Source organism: Homo sapiens, chromosome 5 (assembly GCF_000001405.40).
Source record: "Homo sapiens chromosome 5, GRCh38.p14 Primary Assembly".
Taxonomy (NCBI): Eukaryota; Metazoa; Chordata; class Mammalia; order Primates; family Hominidae; genus Homo; species Homo sapiens.
The window spans coordinates 164,424,941-164,447,867 of record NC_000005.10 but is presented as its reverse complement, the minus strand read 5'-3'; the positions used below and the strand labels follow the sequence as shown (position 1 = coordinate 164,447,867).

Genomic DNA, 22,927 nt, shown 5'->3' with positions numbered 1-22,927 from the left:
GATTAGGAGAAAAACAATTAAAATGCCATCATATTACATGTACAAATGAATTTAAAAATGCAGTCTGATTTCCAAAATACTAAGCTATTTTATACACGTTAGTACTGAGGAAGTATGTCAGGACATTCCATTGACCTATGATATAATTATTAAGTTTTGTTCATTTATTGACCTTATGAAAGTTTGTTCTTTTATTTGCTTATATATATTTATAGATATGTATAATATATCCCATTTTTATATATATTTCCCTATGTATCCTATACATATATGTATTTCCTATATGTGCATCTCTCCATATGTATAATATAGATTACATCAATAACATTCTTCTGACTTGTTTTGAAAATAGGAATTATTCCTTCCTTTATTCATTCTACAGATATTTATTGAGTAGCTTCTATGTGCCAGGCACTTTTTTAGTAATTTGGGATAGGAGAAAAATCCCTGTCCCATGGAGCTTACATTCTATTAGGGAAGATTTCAATAAACAAAACGAGTAAATAAAGTAAGAACTTGGTAATGATAAGCAATGTAGAGAACTTTTCTCTTTTAAAGGAAGAGAAATCTGGAATTCTGAAATTTGATTTTAAATAGGTGCTCAAAGATGATATGATATAGAATTCTTCCTTTGATATTTTAATATAAAGGGTGACTCCCCTGTACTATGACCTAGATTGTATATATCATCTTTCTGTTTGATTAGTGTCCACTGTCAGTCTTTTATCGTACTGGGCATTTAAAATAAATAAAAAAATACTAAATCATGGTTGCACATTACAAAACATGAACTGAGAATAAAGAACAATACATCTACACACTGGACATTTCATTAAGTGCTAAATTATAAGGTACAGTCATAAGTGTTGACCACATTGGGAGAAGAATATAGGCAATTCCTAGCAGATCCTGGGAGGCGCACCTCTTCTTAGAGTTGGGGGGAGAGACATGCTTTAATTAGGCGTGTGTATCCAGCTCACCTAGCAAACAATGAGAACCTCTAGGGATTGCTTATCTTTGATTCCCAACACCTTGTCTGGGATGTGGAGACATAAAAGATAATCAATAAAGAATTACAGAATGAAAGCATGACTCCTTCATTCCTTCAATCCATCTCTCATGGGGTGGGGATAACTTTTATAAGGAGGAGGTTCTTATTTTTAAGCAGATTATAATTATTTCTGAAAATTTTGTTATTTCCGTAAGATTCTGTTCATATATTGACAAATCTATCTCTACATTCTCTCAGATTATTGGGGGATATTATTCAAATTCTTCTTTAATAAAAGGAGCTTTATCCTTAATGTTTTGTTAGAGCCTATACTGTTTTTGTTGAAATGTACTGTAATGAATATATTATAAAGAGATAGACCTGTAATTTAACCTTGGAGGAAATAAGTTTTACGTAGTGCTAAGTTGTTCTACATTTCAGGTTGATTGCATATGCAGGACAATAGAGAGTAATTGCTCTAATATTCATAGCTTAAGGTCACAAGTGTAGTACAAATTTCATTTTGTTTTACTGGTTTGTTCTCAAATACTATTTTAAGTTCACTTATACTGAATTTTCATGTTTGGATACTAGGATCTAATTATTTGCAGTATAGCTAGCAGTATTGCATCAAATACAAATTATTGTGTTTTTCGCCCCACATAACTCCATGTTCTGATTAAAATTCAGCTACACTAATAAGATATCATAGCCAAACTAGCTCACATGCTCACAATTGTGTTTTTTAAAAAACTCAGAGTAAAAATAATATTTCGGTGAAAGGAATGTCATTGACTTTCACTGAAATAGTAGTTCAGACTTTTGTTGTTATATAGCTGAATAATATAACCTTGAATGTATTTAAATGATTCAAGGCTCTTAATTTTTCATCCAGCAGCATTTTAAGCATCACATGATAAAATATACATTTTGGGTTAACTCATTAAATAATGTTTGCATAATTAAATAGGTAAATTAGCATCAATAGAGTTGGTGCCATTCTTATGAAAATAAAAGCACAATAAACTATACAACAAAAAGTATGTTTAGGCTTTTAAATAATACATGTTGAGGTTACTCCCCTCTGCAATCAAATGATATTTATGACTTACAAATACAAGGTAGGCTCTGTTTTAGATCATTCCTGTTCTTGACTGCCTACTTTCTCTGAGCTGCTTCTCTCACAGCTCTAGGCTCTGGGCTGGAGGGATGTAGCCATAAACAAAATGCTGGAAGTCTTTGCCTTTCTATAGATTGTGTTTTAACAGATGAAAATAGATGAATAAATACATTATTAACATTGCAAATAGTGGTAAATACCATGAAAAGAAACAGGGCAATGGGGAGGAATGGGGAAACGGGGAGTATTCTAGAGACTGTGGTCAAGGAAGGTATTTCAAAAGAGATAAGGTAACGTATTGGCAGACATCTTGAGGACAAGACTTTGGAAGGTATTTGAAAATCTATAAAAAGGCTTCTAGGAGAAGGAACAAGCACAAAGATCCTGGGTAAGGCATGAACTTGGTATGTTTAAGAAGCAAGAAGATCAGGATGACTGGAACTTGGTGTTCAAGGAAAAAATACCAGGAGAGGAGATCAGAGAGTAGACAGAATGGCAAGGATCAACTTCCAGAAGGCCATGTAGGCTGTGGTAAGGAGTTTGGATTTAATCCTAAGTGTGTTAGAAGGCTACTGATGAGTGTTGACTAAGTTAACAATATGGGTTCTTTTGTAGTTTAAGAAAAGAACACCCTAGTTTCTTCAGGGCACAGATGAAAAAGGGGAGACAAGGCTGTTGCTGGACTATAGGAAAGAGATGAAACAGAATGTCCCATGATGCCTAGGGTGGAACTGTTGACACACACCACATGATTGTACCATTTAGATATCCCAGTGTTTGGTTGAGTGTGAGAGTAAGATAGACAAAGTTGTCTGGTAATGTTGGCCATGTCCAAAAAACCCATTAATTGACACAAGTGAAAAGAAACAATCATATTTCAAGGTTAATCACTGGTCTACTTTTAGGCAGTTGTAAAACTCGTGATTATTTAAGCATAATCTGTACATCCGAAAATAGGAAGAAATATTTTGACCTGTGGTCATTTTTAATTTTTGAGGAAAATAGATATACTATATAAATAAACAAAGATTAAGTCTAGATATATTATTTGAAAGAGATAATAAAAGCTTGCAATCACTGCTGCAGTGACTGTACACTTAACGAATACACTAAACAGCAGCTCTGAGTGATACTCATTGCATAAAATGATGGCTATATTTTTGAGTGTCAGTTACCAGACATTCTGTTAGGTGATGTGCTTTATCTCATTTACTCTTGGTCACTCTATGTCATATGGACATTATTATCACCTGTGTTTTTAAAGTTGAGGACATTTTAGGCACAGAATTTTAATTTACTTACCCTTAGTAAGTCACAGAGCCAATAACTGTTAAAGTTGGGACTCCAGCTTAGGTTTCTTTTTTCTTTTTTTTGAGACGGAGTCTCACGCCGTCACCCAGGCTGGAGTGCAGTGGTGCGATCTCGGCTCACTGCAAGCTCTGCCTCGCGTGTTCACGCCATTCTCCTGCCTCAGCCTCCCGAGTAGCTGGGACTACAGGCACCCGCCACCACGCCTGGCTAATTTTTTTGTATTTTTAGTAGAGACGGGGTTTCACTGTGTTAGCCAGGATGGTCTCGATCTCCTGACCTCGTGATCCGCCCGCCTCAGCCTCCCAAAGTGCTGGGATTACAGGCATGAGCCACCACGCCCGGCTGGTTATTTTACTTTTAATTACTGTCCACCAGTGTATAATATTTATTTATTTATTTATTTATTTATTTATTTATTTACTTACTTACTTATTTAAGTTTTTTGAGACAGGGTCTCTCTCTTGCCCAGGCTGGAATGCAGTGACAAAATCAAGGCTCACTGCAGCTTCAAATTCCAGGGATGAAGACATCCCCATGTCTCAGCCTCCCAAGTAGCTGCTACTATAGACGCACACCACCACACCTGGCTAATTTTTTAAAACGTTTTTTGTAAAGGTGGGGTCTCCCAATGTTGCCTGGGCTGTTCTTGAACTCCTGGATTAAAACAAACCTCCCTGCTGGCCTTCCAAAGTGCTGGGATTACAGGCGTGAGCCACGGCACCCCAACAGCACCAGTGGTTAATTTAGTGAAAAACGCACCAATCCAGTTTCTCTTAAGAGTTAAAAATAACCAGCTGATGAAGACTTTTCCTATTCCATTGGTTGTTTTGAAATACAGACACAGCACCTGTGCGGTAGCAATACGTGGCAAGAAGGCAGTTTATAAAACAGATATGTCGGCCGGGCGCGGTGGCTCACGCCTGTAATCCCAGCACTTTGGGAGGCTGAGGCGGGCGGATCACGAGGTCAGGAGATCGAGACCATCCTGGCTAACACGGTGAAACCCCGTCTCTACTAAAAATACAAAAAATTAGCCGGGCGTGGTAGCGGGCGCCTGTAGTCCCAGCTACTCGGGAGGCTGAGGCAGGAGAATGGCGTGAACCCGGGAGGCGGAGCTTGCAGTGAGCCGAGATCGCGCCACTGCACTCCAGCCTGGGCGACAGAGCGAGACTCCGTCTCAAAAAAAAAAAAAAAAAAAAAAAAAAAACAGATATGTCCCTCTGCAGGACGTAGACTGGCCCTTTTAAAGTCAGCAAGCCAATACAACCACCAAGGATGTAAATACACTAAGTGACAGCATAATTAATCCTCCGTTACACAATCAATGAGGAACAATAACGCTTCTTGGGAAATGGAATATAGTAGACGGAGCCTGAATTTTCCCTGAGCACAGATGTTGAGTCGTCATATGATGAATCCTCCCTGGAGGGGAACCGTAACAAATACGCAGAGCCTCTCAAGGACAGTCAGAGTTGTAAATTGTGGGCCGTAAAAATAATAATATAAATATTGTGCCAGCATTTATAATTTATTTGTTGGACTCACAGGTGAGAAATGAGGTTTAGCTAGCAGGTCTAATGTAAACTAGTGTTGGCAAACCCATGCTGTGTACTAAACCATTGCTTTCTGTATTTCATTTAGTTTAAAAACATAAAATAAAGCTCAGAAAAAGGAAATTCCTTTGGAAAAATGGAGTTATGGACACAGATTTTTGTAATGTGACATTATAAAGTTATTGGAGTGTTAGTAAATTTAGTTTTTCTTGACGTGTAATGGGGAAATTTAGGCACTTAGAGCACTGAGGGAAATCATAACATCGAGAAACAATTCTGTTTAAAAACATGCAAAATTGCACAGGTGTGTTTTTTTTGGTTGGTTGGTTTTTTACCGTAACTTAACATTGGAAAGTCAAAATCATTAACTGAAGAAGGACATCATTGTGAGACAGTGAGGGGCTGTGAAAAGAATATAGTTGTTCAGTTTCAAAAGCTGTTTCCTAATCTCAGCTGTGCCTTAAACCCCAGTGATCCTTGGGCAAGTTCCATAGTGCCCCAGGGCCTATAGATAGTTGTGGCAGTCCTTGCTAAATAAGACTCATGAATATAAAGTGAGGTATGTGTAAGAGAAGGCAGTATTGCTTTGAGCTTTAAGATGCCCGCCATTCCCAGCTGGGCTGCACTGGCAAACTCTTTTGTTTCCATGTACCTCAGTTTCCCCATCTTGTCAATGGGGATAATAACACTTACCTTTGTGAGTTTTTGAGGATTAATGGAAATGTGATACATGTCAAGTTCTGGGTACTGCGTCTTAGAGAAATAAGAGCTCAATAATTGTTAGCATTGTACATTTACTGTATTTCCTCAAGGTAGTCAACTATCAGTAAATGTTTTTTTGAATAAAAAATAAATATGGTCAGAAGTTCTATTGAATATTTATTAGATTCCTATTTAGGACTATAGTATGCTATAGTTTATAGATTTATACCAACTGATGAGATGATGAATAAGCCATGATATGACAAGTAGCTATTTCTGTCTGAGAATATCAGACAAACATACATGGAAATATTTGAAGGCCACCCTATCAGAGGCACAGGCTTTTGCAAAGCAAAAAAAAAAATGTGGAGACACCACTCCATCAACAGATGGACAGAGTGGTAGAAGTATGACGTCTATTTGGAGAACTATCAAAATTAAAGGAAAGAAAGTGTTAGTGAACAGAGTGCTACGAGGAGCAGAAGAAATAAGAAGTGAGGCTTAACTATTATTGTTAGGAATAAAATGTCCTGGTGTTAAATAAATTAAGATTTTTTTAGAGGAAGAGTTCAGTAAGTCTAAATGTAAAATAAAAGTTGCTATGGAAATATATTTCTCCTTGGACTATCAATAATCATCTCTTTAATGTTTCAATCAGTCCTGGGCAGGTTTAGTCCCTCCTCTCTTACTTAACATGCATATTTATCTCTTCTGGATTCTAGATACAAAGTTCATGGAGGGCAGACCACCTTGTTCCGATAACATGATGAAAGAGAGCCTTTTTAAGAATATCAACCTGGCAGAGATACGTTAGATGAAGTAAATGGATTGGAGGGAAAAGGGGAGACCCCCAAGACAACTTAATTAGCCTAGTGGTTAGGTGGCAAAGCCCCAGCAAATGTTGTGACCCCACTGGAAATAAAACAAAACAGACGGTGTGCGTGTTGGGGAGGGAGTAAATACTTCACAAGTTTAGTAGGAGCATCCTTCTTTATTTTGCTTTTATGATTATTGCAATGCATGTGATGGCTTGAAGTAATGGATGGTGTGTTTCGCCATCTCTGATGGTGATTATTATGGTAGCGGGGGGTAAGATTGCTGAATTTCTGGAAGAAAATATTTAAAGTTTAACATCTAAAATTGTTCTTAATAATTTTAACATACCAGAAGTCTTTCAATAATTAAATAACAACATGTGTCTCTAATGTGGGGGGAAAAGTTGGTCCTGAGTATTCTCATAACTCATACTGTAATGCTAGAAAAATGGCCCCCTAGAAATAATACATTTCTCATGCATGTATGTTGACATCAAAACTAATCTCTAAAATCATTGACAGACTGTAGTAAAAGACAAGGTCTTTTCTTGTCAAATAACTACATGGTGTATAAATTTTAGTGAGAAGATATATTTTAGGAAACATATCTATTTATCTCCAGATGTCTTCCATTCTCTGAGTAGAGAACCCTGCTAGCACATTAACAATAGAATGTTAGAGATGGTTGCAATAGTTTAAACGTCAGTTTGTCTGCGTTTATCCAACTCTGTAATCTCTCCTGTGGATATATTAGATTTGTTTGCATTTTAAAAATCTCATTACAAGTTTTTGAAAACAGGAAATTGCTTCTACTATAAGAGATCAATGCGCTCTTGACTCTAGCATTTTCAACAATGGTTTATCAGTGCTGATGTAGTGGAGATGAGGGGCTAAGAGAATGAGTTTGGGTTCTCTAATAAGCTTGGGAAAAAAGTCACTGAGCAGAAATACCACAATAATTATGAATTCTTAAATTTAACGATGTTGATTCAATTAGATCATTCAATTGCCCAAAGAAGCAAAACTCTCAAGTTCATACCTACTTTTGTTGTAAAATTGTATTTTTGAGGAGGAGGAGGAGAAAAGAGTGTTTGTAATATCAGGGTTAATAGATTTAATTTAGAGAAAATTGTATTATATTTTTCCCTGTAATTAGAAATGGGGAAAAAACATCTCTTTGAGATTTGGCCCAAAACATAAGCCAAAGCATTTCAAACTGGAAATGGTTCCAGAAATGTAAGCCTAGGATTTTTCATTTTATTTCATCTTGGTCAGAAACAGCATGAGATCAATTGGGTAAAATTTTACTTCTCATTAAACAGAACCTGTTAATTTGTTCCAAAATAAATACCATGATGTGGCCAAGTTTGGCACAGATTGTTGTCTGCCCGAACCACTCAGGGTCACTTTAGTTTGCATTCATTGCCTAGATAACTATCCTAAATCCTTTACCTTCCTCTGAAAAATTTCATCCATTTCCTGGATTCCATGCTAAGCCCTAAAGCTCTAATTCAAGCTCTCTATTGAATTCTACCCAGAAGTTTCATAGGCAGCTCAAAAGTCATTTATTTAAAACCTAACAAAGCATATACCTGTCTTTTAATAAGAATATTCTTGTACTTTTAGCTTGATTTCTACAACTTTTCATTAGATTTAAATTTATTGGAATCTCTATCTAATTATACACCTTCAAGTGATCCTCAAATGAATTTTCTTCAGAAATCTTCTTCCAAATTTGGACACCACCCCCCTCCATTTAGGTTTTCATTGACTTTCAGTAAAATTACATAAGTTCTAAATGCCTAATTGTTACTCTTTGCCTTGAATCCTCCATTTTTCTGCCAAAGTGGTCTTGACAAATCCCATATATACTAATATATTAACCCATTAGTAATTCAATCCCTAAAGTCCTTCAGTGATTCCTTTTGCCATCAGGATAAAATATCAAGCTGTTAGAATGACTGCCAGGCACTTCATGAACTGGTCCTCATTTTAAGCTGCCACATCGCCCATTTCCCTCCTCCTTCAGACATACTTCTCATTTTGCAGAAAATGTTTTTGGTGGAAATGGTGGTGATTTTTTAATTGTTTTTGTAGTTACATTCTGTATACTTCAAGATATTTAACATTATCTCAATATAACAAAATCTAAATTTCCTTATTTTTTTCTTCTATAACTTTAGGTGTATTAAGCAGCATTAAGAAAATAATAAAGCAAGACATTTGCATAAATACCCCCAAATGCCATTATTTCTAATCTCTTCTTACTCCCATCTATGATCCAAAGCACTTCTTAAAGACAGCTGTAGTTAGAAAATGGGTAAAACTTTGTAATTTTATCTAGCTAACATTTAATGTACATACATTTTACTCTAGGATATCCTTTGTGTAGTTAACATTCTGTTGCATTCTTATTCACATTTTGAAAGACCCAATTTCTTGTTTTTAACTCTAGGATATTCTTTCTGTAGTTAACATCCTGTTAAATTCTTATTCACATCTTGAAGAGCCAATTTTTTTTGTCTGTCCTGTCCAATGAGAAGATTTCCTTTCTTGGGAATTATTGTACAAAATTTCAACCCATCTGTTTTGGTAACTGATATAAAAGTAGACAGAAAATCAGTTAGGATAGTTGACCCTTGAATAATATGAGTCTGAACCATGTAGATCCACTTATACTCAGATGTTTTTCAATCAAATTTACACCAAGTGTGCCTTCATCTCCTGCATCCTCTTCTATCTCCTCCACCTCTTCTGCCTCTGTCGCCTCTGAGACAGGAAGACCAACTACCCCTCTTCCTCAGCCTACTTAACACAAAGAAAATGAAGATGAAGACTTCTATGATACATTTCAACTTAATGAATTGTAGATACATTTTTTCTTCCTTATGATTTTAAATTATATTTTGTTTTATCTAGCTAACTTTATTCTATAAAATACACATAACATACCAAATAGGTGCTAATCAACTGTTTATGTTACCAGCAAGGCTTATGGTCAACAGCAGGTTATACTAGTTAAGATTCTGGAAAGTTGAAAGTTACACAAAGATTTTTTGACCACACAGGAGGTTGGCACTTTTAACTCTCAAGGGTTGTTCAAGGATAAACTGTGTATGAAAGACTTAAACAACACTATCAATCATCTTGACCCAATGAACTCTCCACTCAACAACAGCAAAATACACATTATTTCTATGTGTGCACAGAATATTTGCCAAAATACACCTTATTCAGGGCTATAAAACAAATCTCAATATACTTAAAGAAACTGAAATCCCAGAAAATCATGCCCTCTGATCACAATGGAGTTAAATTAGAATTCAATAACTAAAAAGTATCTGGAAAATCCCTGAAATATTTGGAAATTAAACAACACTTCCTAAATACCTCATGGGAGAAAGGACAAAGTGAAATGAGAAATGTCTTTACCAGATGAAAATAAAAATAAAATAAAAGTAAACCAGATAAAAACATAACATTATCAGAATTTTCAGAGTAGAGCAAAAGCGGTGCACAGAGGAAAATGCATAGCATCAAATACTTATGGTAGAACAGATGAAAGGGCTCAATTAATAATTTAAGAATTCAACTTTAAAAACTTAAGACAAAGGGGAATATCAGGCAAAAGAGCTAATTAAATCCAGTAAGCAGAAGGAAAATAAGTACAATAAACACAAGAAACAATAAGAAGAAAATAACAGGCCGGGCGCGGTGGCTCACGCCTGTAATCCCAGCACTTTGGGAGGCCGAGGCGGGCGGATCACGAGGTCAGGAGATCGAGACCACGGTGAAACCCCGTCTCTACTAAAAATACAAAAAATTAGCCGGGCGCAGTGGCGGGCGCCTGTAGTCCCAGCTACTCGGGAGGCTGAGGCAGGAGAATGGCGTGAACCCGGGAGGCGGAGCTTGCAGTGAGCGGAGATCGCGCCACAGCACTCCCGCCTGGGCGACAGAACGAGACTCCGTCTCAAAAAAAAAAAAAAAAAAAAAAAAAAGAAAATAACAGCAGCAATCAATGAAATAAAAACAGTGAAGACAACAAAGAAACTCAATGAAACCAAAAGCTGGTTAACTGAAAAGTCAATCTGTTTTTTTTTTTTCTATTATTCTGTTTCTTTGTTTCCACCTCACAAAACCTACCATTCTGCCATTATCCAGTGGGAGCTCTTATTCTAACTGCCCTGATTCATGAATTACAGATAAAAGCCTGTTAGATATACCAATAAATTTATAGTACACTCTCTACAAAAAGAGCACAAGGGAGTTTCTTGGAGCAATGAAAATATTCTATATCATGATTTTGGTGTGACTTACAACACTATATTATACATTTGTTAAAACACATCAAATTATACAATTAAAATTGGTGAATTTGTTGCACACAAATTATAGGTCAAAAGTATTTTCTCAAGGTTATAAATTTTCTACAGAATATTAGATTTATTAAATGATCAGTATGCTACAGGGTACTATTAAAGATAGTATTGGGAGGGAGACATTTACTTGTAAAGTTTGTCTCACTTGTTTTAGACAATTTGAGTCTAAAAATATGTATATAGGTGATACAAATGAAAAGAAAGGTACTGGCTGTTTTATTAGTGAAAGTGTTTTTACTTTTAATATGAATATTTATTTTAATGAATATTATTCATTTAAATGCTGCTATTCTCCAACTTGCCCAACTAAAATAATTCTAATAGCCCAGCTAATAGAATTTCTAAGCAGTTGTATCATTCTACCTCTACCATATGAACATTAGCTCCACAGATAAGAATATAAATTATTTTCTTACTTAGGACATGGATGTAGTGTAAAATGGCAACTTCTGTAATGGACTATGTTTCACATCATTTGTGATTAGGAACTAGGTATTCTCCAGGCTGTGGTGAGCTATTTTATTGGTTGTTACAGCCAGTGCAATAGATCCTAACTTATCTTTCATCTGACCTTAAATATAAATGAAAAACAATAAATTTATTTCAAGGTTGCACTGAGAATAAGCGAGGCCAATTGAAATTGAGGCTTTAAGCCTCTTCCAAATTATATTCTGAGCCAAGCTACAGTAAGAAAAGAATTAGACTTAACTTTTCTGTTGTTAAATTATATTTTAATATTGGAAGCTGTGATTATATTCTTTTTCTTTGTTTGTTTGTTTGTTAGGGGAAAAAAGAAAAAGAACAGCATTCAGCATGAATAAAGGACTAACCATTATTAATGAATATCGATGAATGCTTTAATGTAGCAAATCGTAAGCATATGGAAATACTGGCACTGATTAATATTTCACATAAAGTTGAATTATTTCTTTATTGAAAAAAGTTTGTAAGCGTCTTTTCTTATGGGGGTAATATGAAAAACATAGGCATGTATCTTTTCCAAATACTCTTTTAAGGATCATGGGATTAGAGTAAAACTCTAAGATCTTAAGATTAAAAGCAGGAAATAATCAAACTTGGAATAAGGTATAACTCTCAATGAATATCAAGTAAATGACATAGATACATAGCTACGGAATTAACTTGAAGAGCAACACATTGAAAATGAGCCAAAGTCTCACACACACAGGAGTTGAGAAAGATTGCTGTGTAATATACTGTCGGGTCTGTTTATTAGACAAGGCTTGGATAGGAAACTTCTTTTGGTGCATTTGCTCCCAGTGAAATTTGAATCCGAAAAATCCATGACACAAGTGTTCCATTTCATTACTGTGTATTGATTACTCATGTGTATCCTTCTAAGAAACCAGAGAAACATGGCTGTTATAAATCCTCTTATTTCACACTGATACTCTAGTTTAAAAAGTGGAGTGGTAAAACACAAAAGACTGTTAAAAATCATCCTGAATTTTAATTTTCATAATCAGGAAGGTAAACTTAAGGAAGCCAAGCAAGAAAGGAGAATTATTTCTGTGCCAGCCATCTCTGGTTCTTACCTACCAGGCTCACAACCATTTGAATGGTAGTAACAATGGGTCCCGTAGAAAGAAAATATGTTTAGGACTTACATGAGGGTAAAACCATCTTGAAACAGGTCAACTTACCTACAGAAATGGAAAGCCTACAATAGCAAGAGTAGATGTCAAGATTTTTGTGTACTGCTATTTTTACTTCCACGTTTTTCTTATGTAAATTTTTTAGCCCTTTTCTCCCAAGGTAACAAGTCTCCCCTCTGATACTAGGCAAAATACTTTAAGTCACAAGTTATGAGATTGCATGCATCTTCAAAGCCAGCTTCCCTTGGAAATGGTAAATTGGAATACTGATTACTTGACCACTTTCTAGGAACTCTACTTCTTCCTTCTCTAATTGGAAGCTGTGTTGACTTCGGTTCAATAATTTAGCTTCCATAATTTTACTTTGGAAAATTGGGCTTATGTGACTGTCAATGGCTTTCCAAATTTACATGTATCATTTTATTAAGTACATCAAGCAATACAGTGTTAACGTAAAAATAAGTTTTGTCACTTTGGGAGGCCAAGGAGAGTGGATCAATTGAAGTCAGGAGTTCCAGACCAGCCTGACCAACATGGCAAAACCCCGTCTCTGTTAAAAATACAAAAGTTAGTCAGGTGTGGTGGTGGACACCTGTAGTCCCAGCTACTCAGGAGGCTGAGGCAGAAGAATCGCTTGAACCCTGGGAGGTGGAGGTTGCAGTGAGCCAAGATCGTGCCACCACACTCCAGCCTGGGCAACAGAGCTGGACTCCGTCTCAAAAATGAAATAAGTTTTGCAATGATGGTTTTACGTTCCTTGATCTAAAGCAGTTTCATACATTTTCCCAAAAATGTGAAATAAATTAAAAAGTTATGATTTTAAAACCATGTTTATGAAAACCACAGTTCATTTGTCTCATCTTTTTTTTGTTCCTTCCACTACCCTCTTTAGTTGCATCAGTTTGTCTCTAGAATAGTGGCTTTATCCTCCTTTCTGGCCTTTCTGCATCTGTTGTCTTCCACATTTGTTTTTTATACCACCCCTAGACTAACCTTCAGAAATTGTGTTTAATGCTTTTATGTGCAATACATTCCTTAGAAGAGACCATCTAAATTGGTTTTCCAGTAGTTCAAGGACTAGTAAAATCTGGCTACAGGTTTTCCTTTTCAAAATTTCTCCCAGTCTTCTGAGCCTCTAGCAAATGTCCGTTATGATCCTCAAATTGCACCTTTGCTTATATTATGAGCCTTGCCTGAGAAACACGCAATTTGATGGCACAGCAGCAAATAACAAGCTTGTATAACTTTTATACAAACTCTAAACACCAAATTTTGGTAATGACACTATCACTTGATTGGTATTTACTATCCACTGCAGCATATTTGAATTTAGATATGTGAATACCTAGTCACGTGATATACATATATAAAGGGTAAATAGTCACACACACACACGTAAATGATAAATACATACATATGTATGTATACACACATATATACACAAAATGAAAATCTATGGGGTTGTTGACCCCGCACTCCTTTTCCAGCAACTGTGGCCCCATCAGCACCATCACCATAGGAGTGAGCATTTTATTCAAAGTGACCCTTTCCACTGACAAGAGGTGGTTATCAGATGAGGAAAAGGTGAATTATTGTGCCTTGGGAATTTTAAAACTTGCAAGAGCATTGACTCAATCTCTTTCTAATGGTTGAATTTCTAAACTGGAAACTCAGAACATACCAGGCATATTTCATGCCCAGGAAGTGTATTATGCATTGACTCAATATCTCTTATCTCTTCCAATCTCCTTCTAGAGTGCCTTCTTGCACTGCTGAAGCTGAAGGGCTAAAACCACCTAAAACTACCTCTTCCAGACTTCCTTTCAGTGAGGGTTCTAGGTGAACTTTGGACTCTACCAATTAAGTGCACATGGATGAGACATGAATTCAAAACTGAATTTCCAGTGAAAAAGGCAGAGGTTTTACTAGTGTAGAGTGGGGCAGAGGCAGAAAGTTTAGCAATGAACAGCTGCAGTGGCGACTTCCAGTTTTGTTGGCAGTTTTCAGTTAGGTTAGAGGCAGCAGTGCTCTTGGCTATGCAGTACGGCAAAGAGCCTTTGGAAGCTGTTCCTGGAAATTCAGCCTAGGTTCTATTTTTTTAGCTTTCCCAATAATTCATAATCTATTTAATAAACGTAATAAATCTTTCGGTTGAAATAAGCTAGAGTGGATTCTTTTCCTACATTGTCTTTTGGACAAAGCTGGTCTGTAGTGAGAGAGAAAAGCTAGGGAACACCAGGGGTATCTGGTTTCCTGGCCCCACATGCACCTAGCACCAAGCAGCATCCTGGCATTTTCTCTTGGTCTGGTTGTGAAACATTTTTCTGGACTTTACCAGCCAATAAATTCTACTTGCTGCTCTTAAATTGGTTTGAATTTGTTTCCTCATCTTGTTCCCACAAGACTTGTACTGATATACTATGTTTCATCTACCCCATCTCACTCCCTGTCATAAGGAGAAATATGTGTACCTTAATGTCTATCCTTTGCATATCAAGCCTATTTCAAGACTAAAACTTACTGACTGAAGCAGTTTTTATTGTTGATGCCTCTATAAATACATAAACCAAAATATTTTATGAGTTTCTTTTCTCATATATATGAGAAAATATATAATTGTATACATATTATACATAATATATAATAAATATATATTATATATATTAATTCATCAATTATATATATAGATGAATTATCTGCAATTGGCTTCAATAGACATTTTAAATGAGAAATTCTCTGAAATGTTTTCAACTTTTTTGAAGAAATCCCAATCATTTTCTGATTCCATTTAGCCATACTCAAGGATAATCCTGATAATTACATTGATTATTTCGCAAGTGGAAATGTCAACAATGAAAGATTAAGCATATTTTGCAGAGGCCAGCAAAGAGTCCTTTCTTTGATGAAGAAAATTAGCCACCTCAAATTGATAATAGCAGTCAAACAGATCCAGACATAACTTTAATACCTTAGAGGCCTATTAAATATTTGAAGATAATTTAACTACTGATTCATCCACTAACCTTTTAAAAAGTCCCTCCTCCCATTTCCTTGGGGAAGGTGCAAAAATTTCTCCAAGGACAAATAACTGAAGGAAAGAAGTCACCTGCTGTAGGAAAACCATTTAACACATCCAGGAACCAGCTGCAATCTTGACCTCATTTAAATGAGCTTGGACTTGGCATGAGGTAAAAAACAGTTTGAACAAAAAATAAATAAATAATCTGCTAAAGATCACATGCCTTAACTCACAATCTAGCAATAAATCACTTCTATTGGAATGAGAAGGAGGAGGTTCAGCAGCACTACGTAAATCAAACTCCATTTTTTTGTGCTTATTTTTACTTCGGTCATAGGATTTAACCTTTAAATGCAACATAAATGGAAAGCATTTTTTCCAGTTTAAATCTGGACATGAAAAATTAAAGTGAATAAGAGATTGTTTATCTTCTCCAGCATGTGATGGTAGCATTTATAATTTCATATAACAATAGATATCTCTCGCTTGGTGAATCTCTGCCTGGAATAAATCAAATTTGTCATGTCCATTTTGCATTTTGTTTGTCTGTGCTGTTACTGATGTGCCAGGTTTAAAAATCTCAGTAACCCTGTATCTGAGCCGTGAATTCCTGAGAAAGACAGAGATATTACTTGATCTCTCCACATTCTCTTCTTCTCTTTATTTTCTATTTCTTTTTCTTCTTGTTGATTTTTTTAAACTGTGGAGAATTCATGATGTGAGTGACACCATCAAAAAGGTTTAGTGGTTTTGAGTTAGGATGTATCTTACATTAGAACAGAGGGAAGATTGTCTATCTGGGGCAATTTGATAAATGTTATAAAAGATTCCTTCCTTTCATAATCTATCTCTCTCCTAGGCCTCATAAATTTCTACCAATCATGATTTAATCTATGGTATTGTCTTCAAGTCTCTAGGAGTTCCCTTTTGAATAACAAATACTCCCAGGAGACAATTTTTTAAAATGAGAAAACAAACAAAATCCTAAGTCATTAATACATTTATGTGAGTTAATTAATTAGAGATGCAATAACATGTTTTCTTGCAAGTTTCTTAGAGGAATGAAACAAGTGATAACTAGGTTATGACAGGGAACAAAAAAGATGTTTAAAGCTGGAGTATGAGGCACTACTTTTTGGTGCTTACTAAAGGTCAGGCTCAGCATGTGGACCCTGGTGGCAGGCAGGAGGGAAGATTAAAAGGATAATAAAAAATAAGAGAGAGAGAAACACACACAGACAGAGACAGAGATAGAAAGGGAAAGATAGAGAGATGTCTCATTCAAACAATTTCCTGTTATTCCCACATATTTATTCTAAGTGCCTCTGGGAAAATTTTTAGTATTAATTACTAATTTACTAAATCCTAGTCTGACCACCTTTAAGCCTTTTTTTATCGGAATGTGGTAATGTCCCAGTGTGCATTTTTAATTCAAAGTTCAGTATTTTTAAGTGAAAAATATATGATGGGAATAAAGGTATAAAATAGCTTCTTTAATTGGGGTTAATATATACAATAAATTGTTGATAGCAATGAGATGAAAATTTTGTATATATATATACATACACACACGCACAGACCAGAGTGTTTTGGACTTAGGATCTTTTCAGATGTTTTAATATTTGCATATATATAATTAGATATCTTGGGAATGGAAAGCCAAGTCTAAATATGAAATGTTTTTGTTTTATGTATGCCTTTTACAGATTGCCTGAAGATAATTTCATGCAATATTTTTAACAATTTTGTGCATGAAACAAAGTGTTGGCAGCATTTTGACTGTGACCCATGTCTTTGTCCAGTTTGTGCTGCTGCATAGGAATACCTCAGGCTAGGTAACTTATGAAGAAATGAGATTTGTTTGGCTCATGGTTCTGCAGATTGTACAAGAAGCATGGCACCGGCATCTTCATCTGGTGAGGGTGTCAGTCAGCTTCCTCTCATGGTAGAAGGCAAAGGGGAGCCAGCAATGTGCAGAGGCCATGTGGCACAAAAAGAAGCAAGAGAAATGGGGGAGATGCTGGGCTCTTTTTAACAACCAGACCTAGAGAAAACTAAAAAGTGAGAACTCACCAACCTCCAAAGGATGGCATTAATTTTTTCATGAGGGTTCCAGACCTATGACCCCAATATTAGGCCCCACTTCCAATAATAGGGATCAATTTCAACTTGAAGTTCAGTGAGGACAAACACCCAAACCATAGCAGCCCATTACATGAAGTCAGGTATGGAATTTTCCACTTGAGGCCTCACATCAGTGCTCAAAAAGTTCAGGATCTTGGAGCATTTCAGAATTCAGTTTTTTAGATTAGGAATCCTCGACTTGTATATTTAAACAGCTATTTTAAGGAAAGACTATTAGCTTAGAAATATTATCCTGATCCCAAAACTGTAAACAGACCTTTGGTATTGCAAGATGAAAGTGAACCATGGAATTCCATTACTCAGATTCATAATGGCTTCTCTAAACATTTCTTGTTTTGGAGACAAAGGAAGATAGGACCATAGATTAAAAAGTATTCCAAAATGTTAAAAGATTTTTAACATGTATTAATAGGAAAAAAAACACATTTAAAATTATTTTTATAAGACTAGAAGTAAACATGCCTAAAAGTATTATTTATATATAAATACCACAACTTTTTATAGTGATAGTTTTAATAAGTATTTACAAGTGTTGTCAATAATTATTTGAAACCTACGAAGATTTAGCCAAAACCACAAAATAATTATTGAGTTACACCATACCAAAGAAGTATTGGTTAAAGCTTATTTATTTAAACATAAATACACTTCCCCTTTTCTATTGGACATTGGGATTGGAACTAGACCTTGTTAAGAAAAGTGAGAAACATAATGCTCCATAGCCAGTTAAGATTTTGCTTAAGGGTAGATCCCATTCCCATCAGTTCTGTAGATTATCTGTTATCACGAGAGGTATGAAATCCACAAGTACACCAGGGCACGAGGAATCAGAACTGTAAGTTTCTCAGCTACAGGAACTTTGCTCTTATGTGGTCTAGTCTCGTCTTTCCACATTCAGGAGACCACGTTTACACGGCTGCATTGGAACTGGCTATACTAGAGAATCCTCAGCTTGGTTCTCAGCTGTTGGTCCCCAGGCGACAAGGAGGAAGAAGAGTTCCGCAGGAGCTTTGTGAGAAATGTATTATCACATATCTTCTACTCCATTTAATTAATAATCTTCTGGCTCTTAAGATTATATTTGAAATGATAATGGTATTAAAATGGATAACAAAATTGTCACATTGTTATTTTATTTTTATTTTTATCAGTTTACTAAGTGTTGTTATATGTCTCTCATTTCTTTCATTAAGAAACAGCCCTGCACCTTATGTTGTATCAGTTAAGAAACTGTAGTTTGCAAGTAAAACAAAATTCAACTTAAACTAGTAGTGGCAGGGAAAATGTTGGTTCATCAAAGTGAAAAGCCTAATTTCTTTCAAGTGTGGCTTAATCCGGAGATTCAGATGACATTCAACACTCACTACTACTTTCCACTGGCTTCATTCTCAGACTCATCCTCCCATATCCTAGCTGATTTTGAATGAATAATTTGCTCCTCTTAATATTGTAGTTTGGTGCCTGAGATATACATCTATCCCCTGTGGCCAGGGGCATTTTGGTGTATTAATTGAGTCATATTTGGTAGTATATGAACCAAAATATTCTACCCTGAGGGTCAGTTTGAACCCCACTTAAACCACAGGGACAAGAGAAAGTCATAGCACCTAAAATTCTAGATGCTGATTCCAAAGAAGAAAGACCTGGTGGCCAAAATACTCTTTCCTGCAAAGAAGTATAAGCAGGTATTTGGTCCATTGTTTGAAAACAAAAGGTAAGGCATCTCCCCAAATTGGAAATAAGATTGCTTTTTAATAATAAAACAGGATACAATTTATTGAGTGTTTAAGTGATGTCAGAAACTGAGCTATGTGCTTTATTTGCATAATTTCTTTCAACTTTTATAACAGCTAATATGAAATAGTCATTGCTACTCTAACCATTTAATGGCAAGGAAACTGTGGCCTAGAATGTTGAACCAATTGCTTAAGGTCAAATAAATAAAAGAGCCAAGTACTGGAGAAGTGGAGCCAAGATTTGAACTCAAATAGTCAAATAGAGGAACATGTACTTAAAACACAACTCTTGTAAATTTGTTTCAGTTCTTTGTAGATTCTGGATATTAGCCCTTTGTCAATGTGGGCGAAGGATATGAACAGCTAAAAGAAGACATTTATGCAGCCAACAGACACATGAAAAAATGCTCATCATCACTGGCCGTCAGAGAAATGCAAATCAAAACCACAATGAGATACCATCTCACACCAGTTAGAATGGCGATCATTAAAAAGTCAGGAAACAACAGGTGCTGGAGAGGATGTGGAGAAACAGGAACACTTTTACACTGTTGGTGGGACTGTAAACTGTTCAACCATTGTGGAAGACAGTGTGGCGATTCCTCAAGGATCTAGAACTAGAAATACCATTTGATCCAGCCATCCCATTACTGGGTATATACCCAAAGGATTATAAAACATGTTGCTATAAAGACACATGCACACGTATGTTTATTGTGGCACTATTCACAATAGCAAAGACTTGGAACCAACACAAATGTCCATCAATGATAGACTGGATTAACAAAATGTGGCACATATACACCATGGAATACTATGCAGCCATAAAAAATGATGAGTTCATGTCCTCTGTGGGGACATGGATGAAGCTGGAAACTATCATTCTCAGCAAACTATCGCAAGGACAAAAAAACCAAACACCGCATGTTATCACTTATAGGTGGGAATTGAACAATGAGAACACTTGGACACAGGAAGAGGAACATTACACACCGGGGCCTGTTGTGGGGTGGGGGAATGGGGGAGGGATAGCATTAGGAGATATACCTAATGTAAATGACGAGTTAATGGGTGCAGCACACCAACATGGCAAATGTATACATATGTAACAAACCCGCACGTTGTGCATATGTACCCTAGAACTTAAAGTATAATAATATATATATGTATTAAAAAAAAACACAATTCTATCAGCACAGAGTCTTCCAGAGCCTATGTACACAAAAGCTCCTTTAGTAAGCCGGGCTCTTCTTCCTTGTTGAAGATATGGTCATCAACCTAAAGAAAATAGATATTACATAAAAGAAGTCTTGGAGAGTATGCCAGTGTGGAATAAGATTACTGCAGAGCAAACACATACATGGCCATTCATTAATGGAGTCCGCCCTCTTAGCTAATTGGCCTTGAGAACCCAGTCCCATGGAAAGACCATCTCTAATGTGAAGTGGATGAGTTAGAGTATTCTTTCCTGACACTGTTAACTTTTCAATTCGTTGAACTCTCTTTGTTCTGGTTAAGCTGATATCCTCTAAAGAAACTTCTGATAATGATTTAATTTTCTATAGGTTCACTAATGATTTAGTAAAAACTAATGATTTGGTTTCCTATAAGGAGAAAATAAGCTAGCATAGGACTTTGAATGTTCCAATCTCTAAATGGTTATTTCCTTCTCTGTATGACTTAAAGGGTTATCTGCATTGGTACCTCACTCTCAATGAAGCCATTGTTCACATCTTCACTTTTCTGTGCCTGTAAGGCAAGTTCCTAAGCTGGGCATATTTGCCCAAGGAATCTTCGGAAGCTGCCTGCTGGCCATTTTCTTCTGAACCAACCTCTCTGCATTGCTATGTATATTTTTGTAATGCTATTACTACATGCAATATTATTTAATTTTAATGGATCTGGAAAATAAAGCTTAGGGAGATAAATAGACTCAACTTATTTAAACGGCTAATAAGGTACAGAGATGGAGTGAAAGCTCCAGTTTCGGACTCTAATTTGTTGGAATTTCTACTATACCATAATGCCTGTGATATATCTTTTCTCTTTCATACATTTTCAATGCTTAAAAGTATAATTTCTAGAAAATGTAACAGTATATCCACTAAAATTCATGATGATTAGTCTAAATATTCAATCTGAAAATACAGCCTTTCTTAGAAGACTGCCATAACCATTTTTAAAAAGCATTAACAGCTTTTACTTTACAGAGCAGTTTTAGGTTTACAGAAAAATTCAGTAGAAAGTACAGAGAGTTCCCACATGTGTCCTCTCTCTCACCATCCCCTACCCTCTGCACTCACCCATTTTCCCCTATTATTATACTTTATTTGTGTGCTACATTTGTTACAATTGGTGAACCAAAAATTATGTATTATTGTTAACTAAAGTCCATAGTTTACACTAGTTTTAATTCTTGGTGTTGCACATTCTGTGGATTTTGTCAAATGCATAATGTCATGTATGTACAATTACGGTATTATGCAAAATAGTTTCATTTACCTAAAAATCCTCTGGGTTCCCCCCATTCATTCTTCTCCCCTTCCACCTGAACCCTAATGACCATGGATCTTTTTACTGTCTTTATAGTTCTGCCTTTGTTAGAATGCCTTTGTTAGAATGCCTTATAGTCAGAATCATATAGTATGTAGCCCTTTCAGACTGGCCCTTTTCACCTAGCAATATGCATTTAAGGCTGTTCCATGTCTTTTTGTGGCTTTATCAAGAAATCATGGCTGATTTATTTTTCATTTTTTTCTTAATTCTTAATTTAATTGACAACAATTAAACAATTGTTTAACAATTACAGAGATAATTGTTATCTCTATATCATGTCATATCATGGACAGCATGACATTTTGAAATATGCATACATTACGGAACAGTTAAATTGAGCTAATCAACATATGCATCACTTCATATATTTATCATTTTTTGTGATGAAAACTTAAAATTTATTCTCTTAGCAATTTGCAAGAATACAATACATTGTTATTAACTATAGTCACCAGGTTATGCAATAGATCTCTTTAACTTATTCCTCCTAACTGAAATTTTGTATCCTTTGACTAACATTTATCCAGTAGTCCTGCCTCCTCTCCCCCAGCACCTGGTAACCACCATTCTACTCTCTGATTCTATGAGTTCAACTTTATGTTAGATTCCACATATGAGTGACAGCATGCAGTATTTGTCTTTCTGTGCCTATCATTGAATCGTGTTCAATTGTATGGATATACCAGTGTTTATCTATTACATATTGAAGGACATCGTGGTTGCTTCCAATTTGGGGAAATTATGAATAACGGTGTTATAATCCTTTATGTACAAGTTTTTACATGACATAAGTTTTCAACACAGTCTTATCTTATAATACAAAAATCATGCTCCTAGGTGTGGGTAAATACCTAGGAGCATAATTTTTGTATTGTAAGACTGTGTTTACCTTTGGAAGAAACTGCAAAACCATCTTCCAAAGTGGCTATATCATGTTTCATTCTCACCAGTAATAAATGAGAGTTCCTGTTGCTCCACATACTT

The 22,927-nt window shown here is 35.8% G+C and overlaps 1 long non-coding RNA gene across 1 annotated transcript in view; it reads right to left on the bottom strand.

Moving 5' to 3' along the window:
- Positions 1-22,927, bottom strand: part of LINC03000 (long intergenic non-protein coding RNA 3000) — a 765,030-nt gene that overhangs the window by 613,867 nt on the left and 128,236 nt on the right. The gene's annotated exons all lie outside the window — the stretch shown is intronic.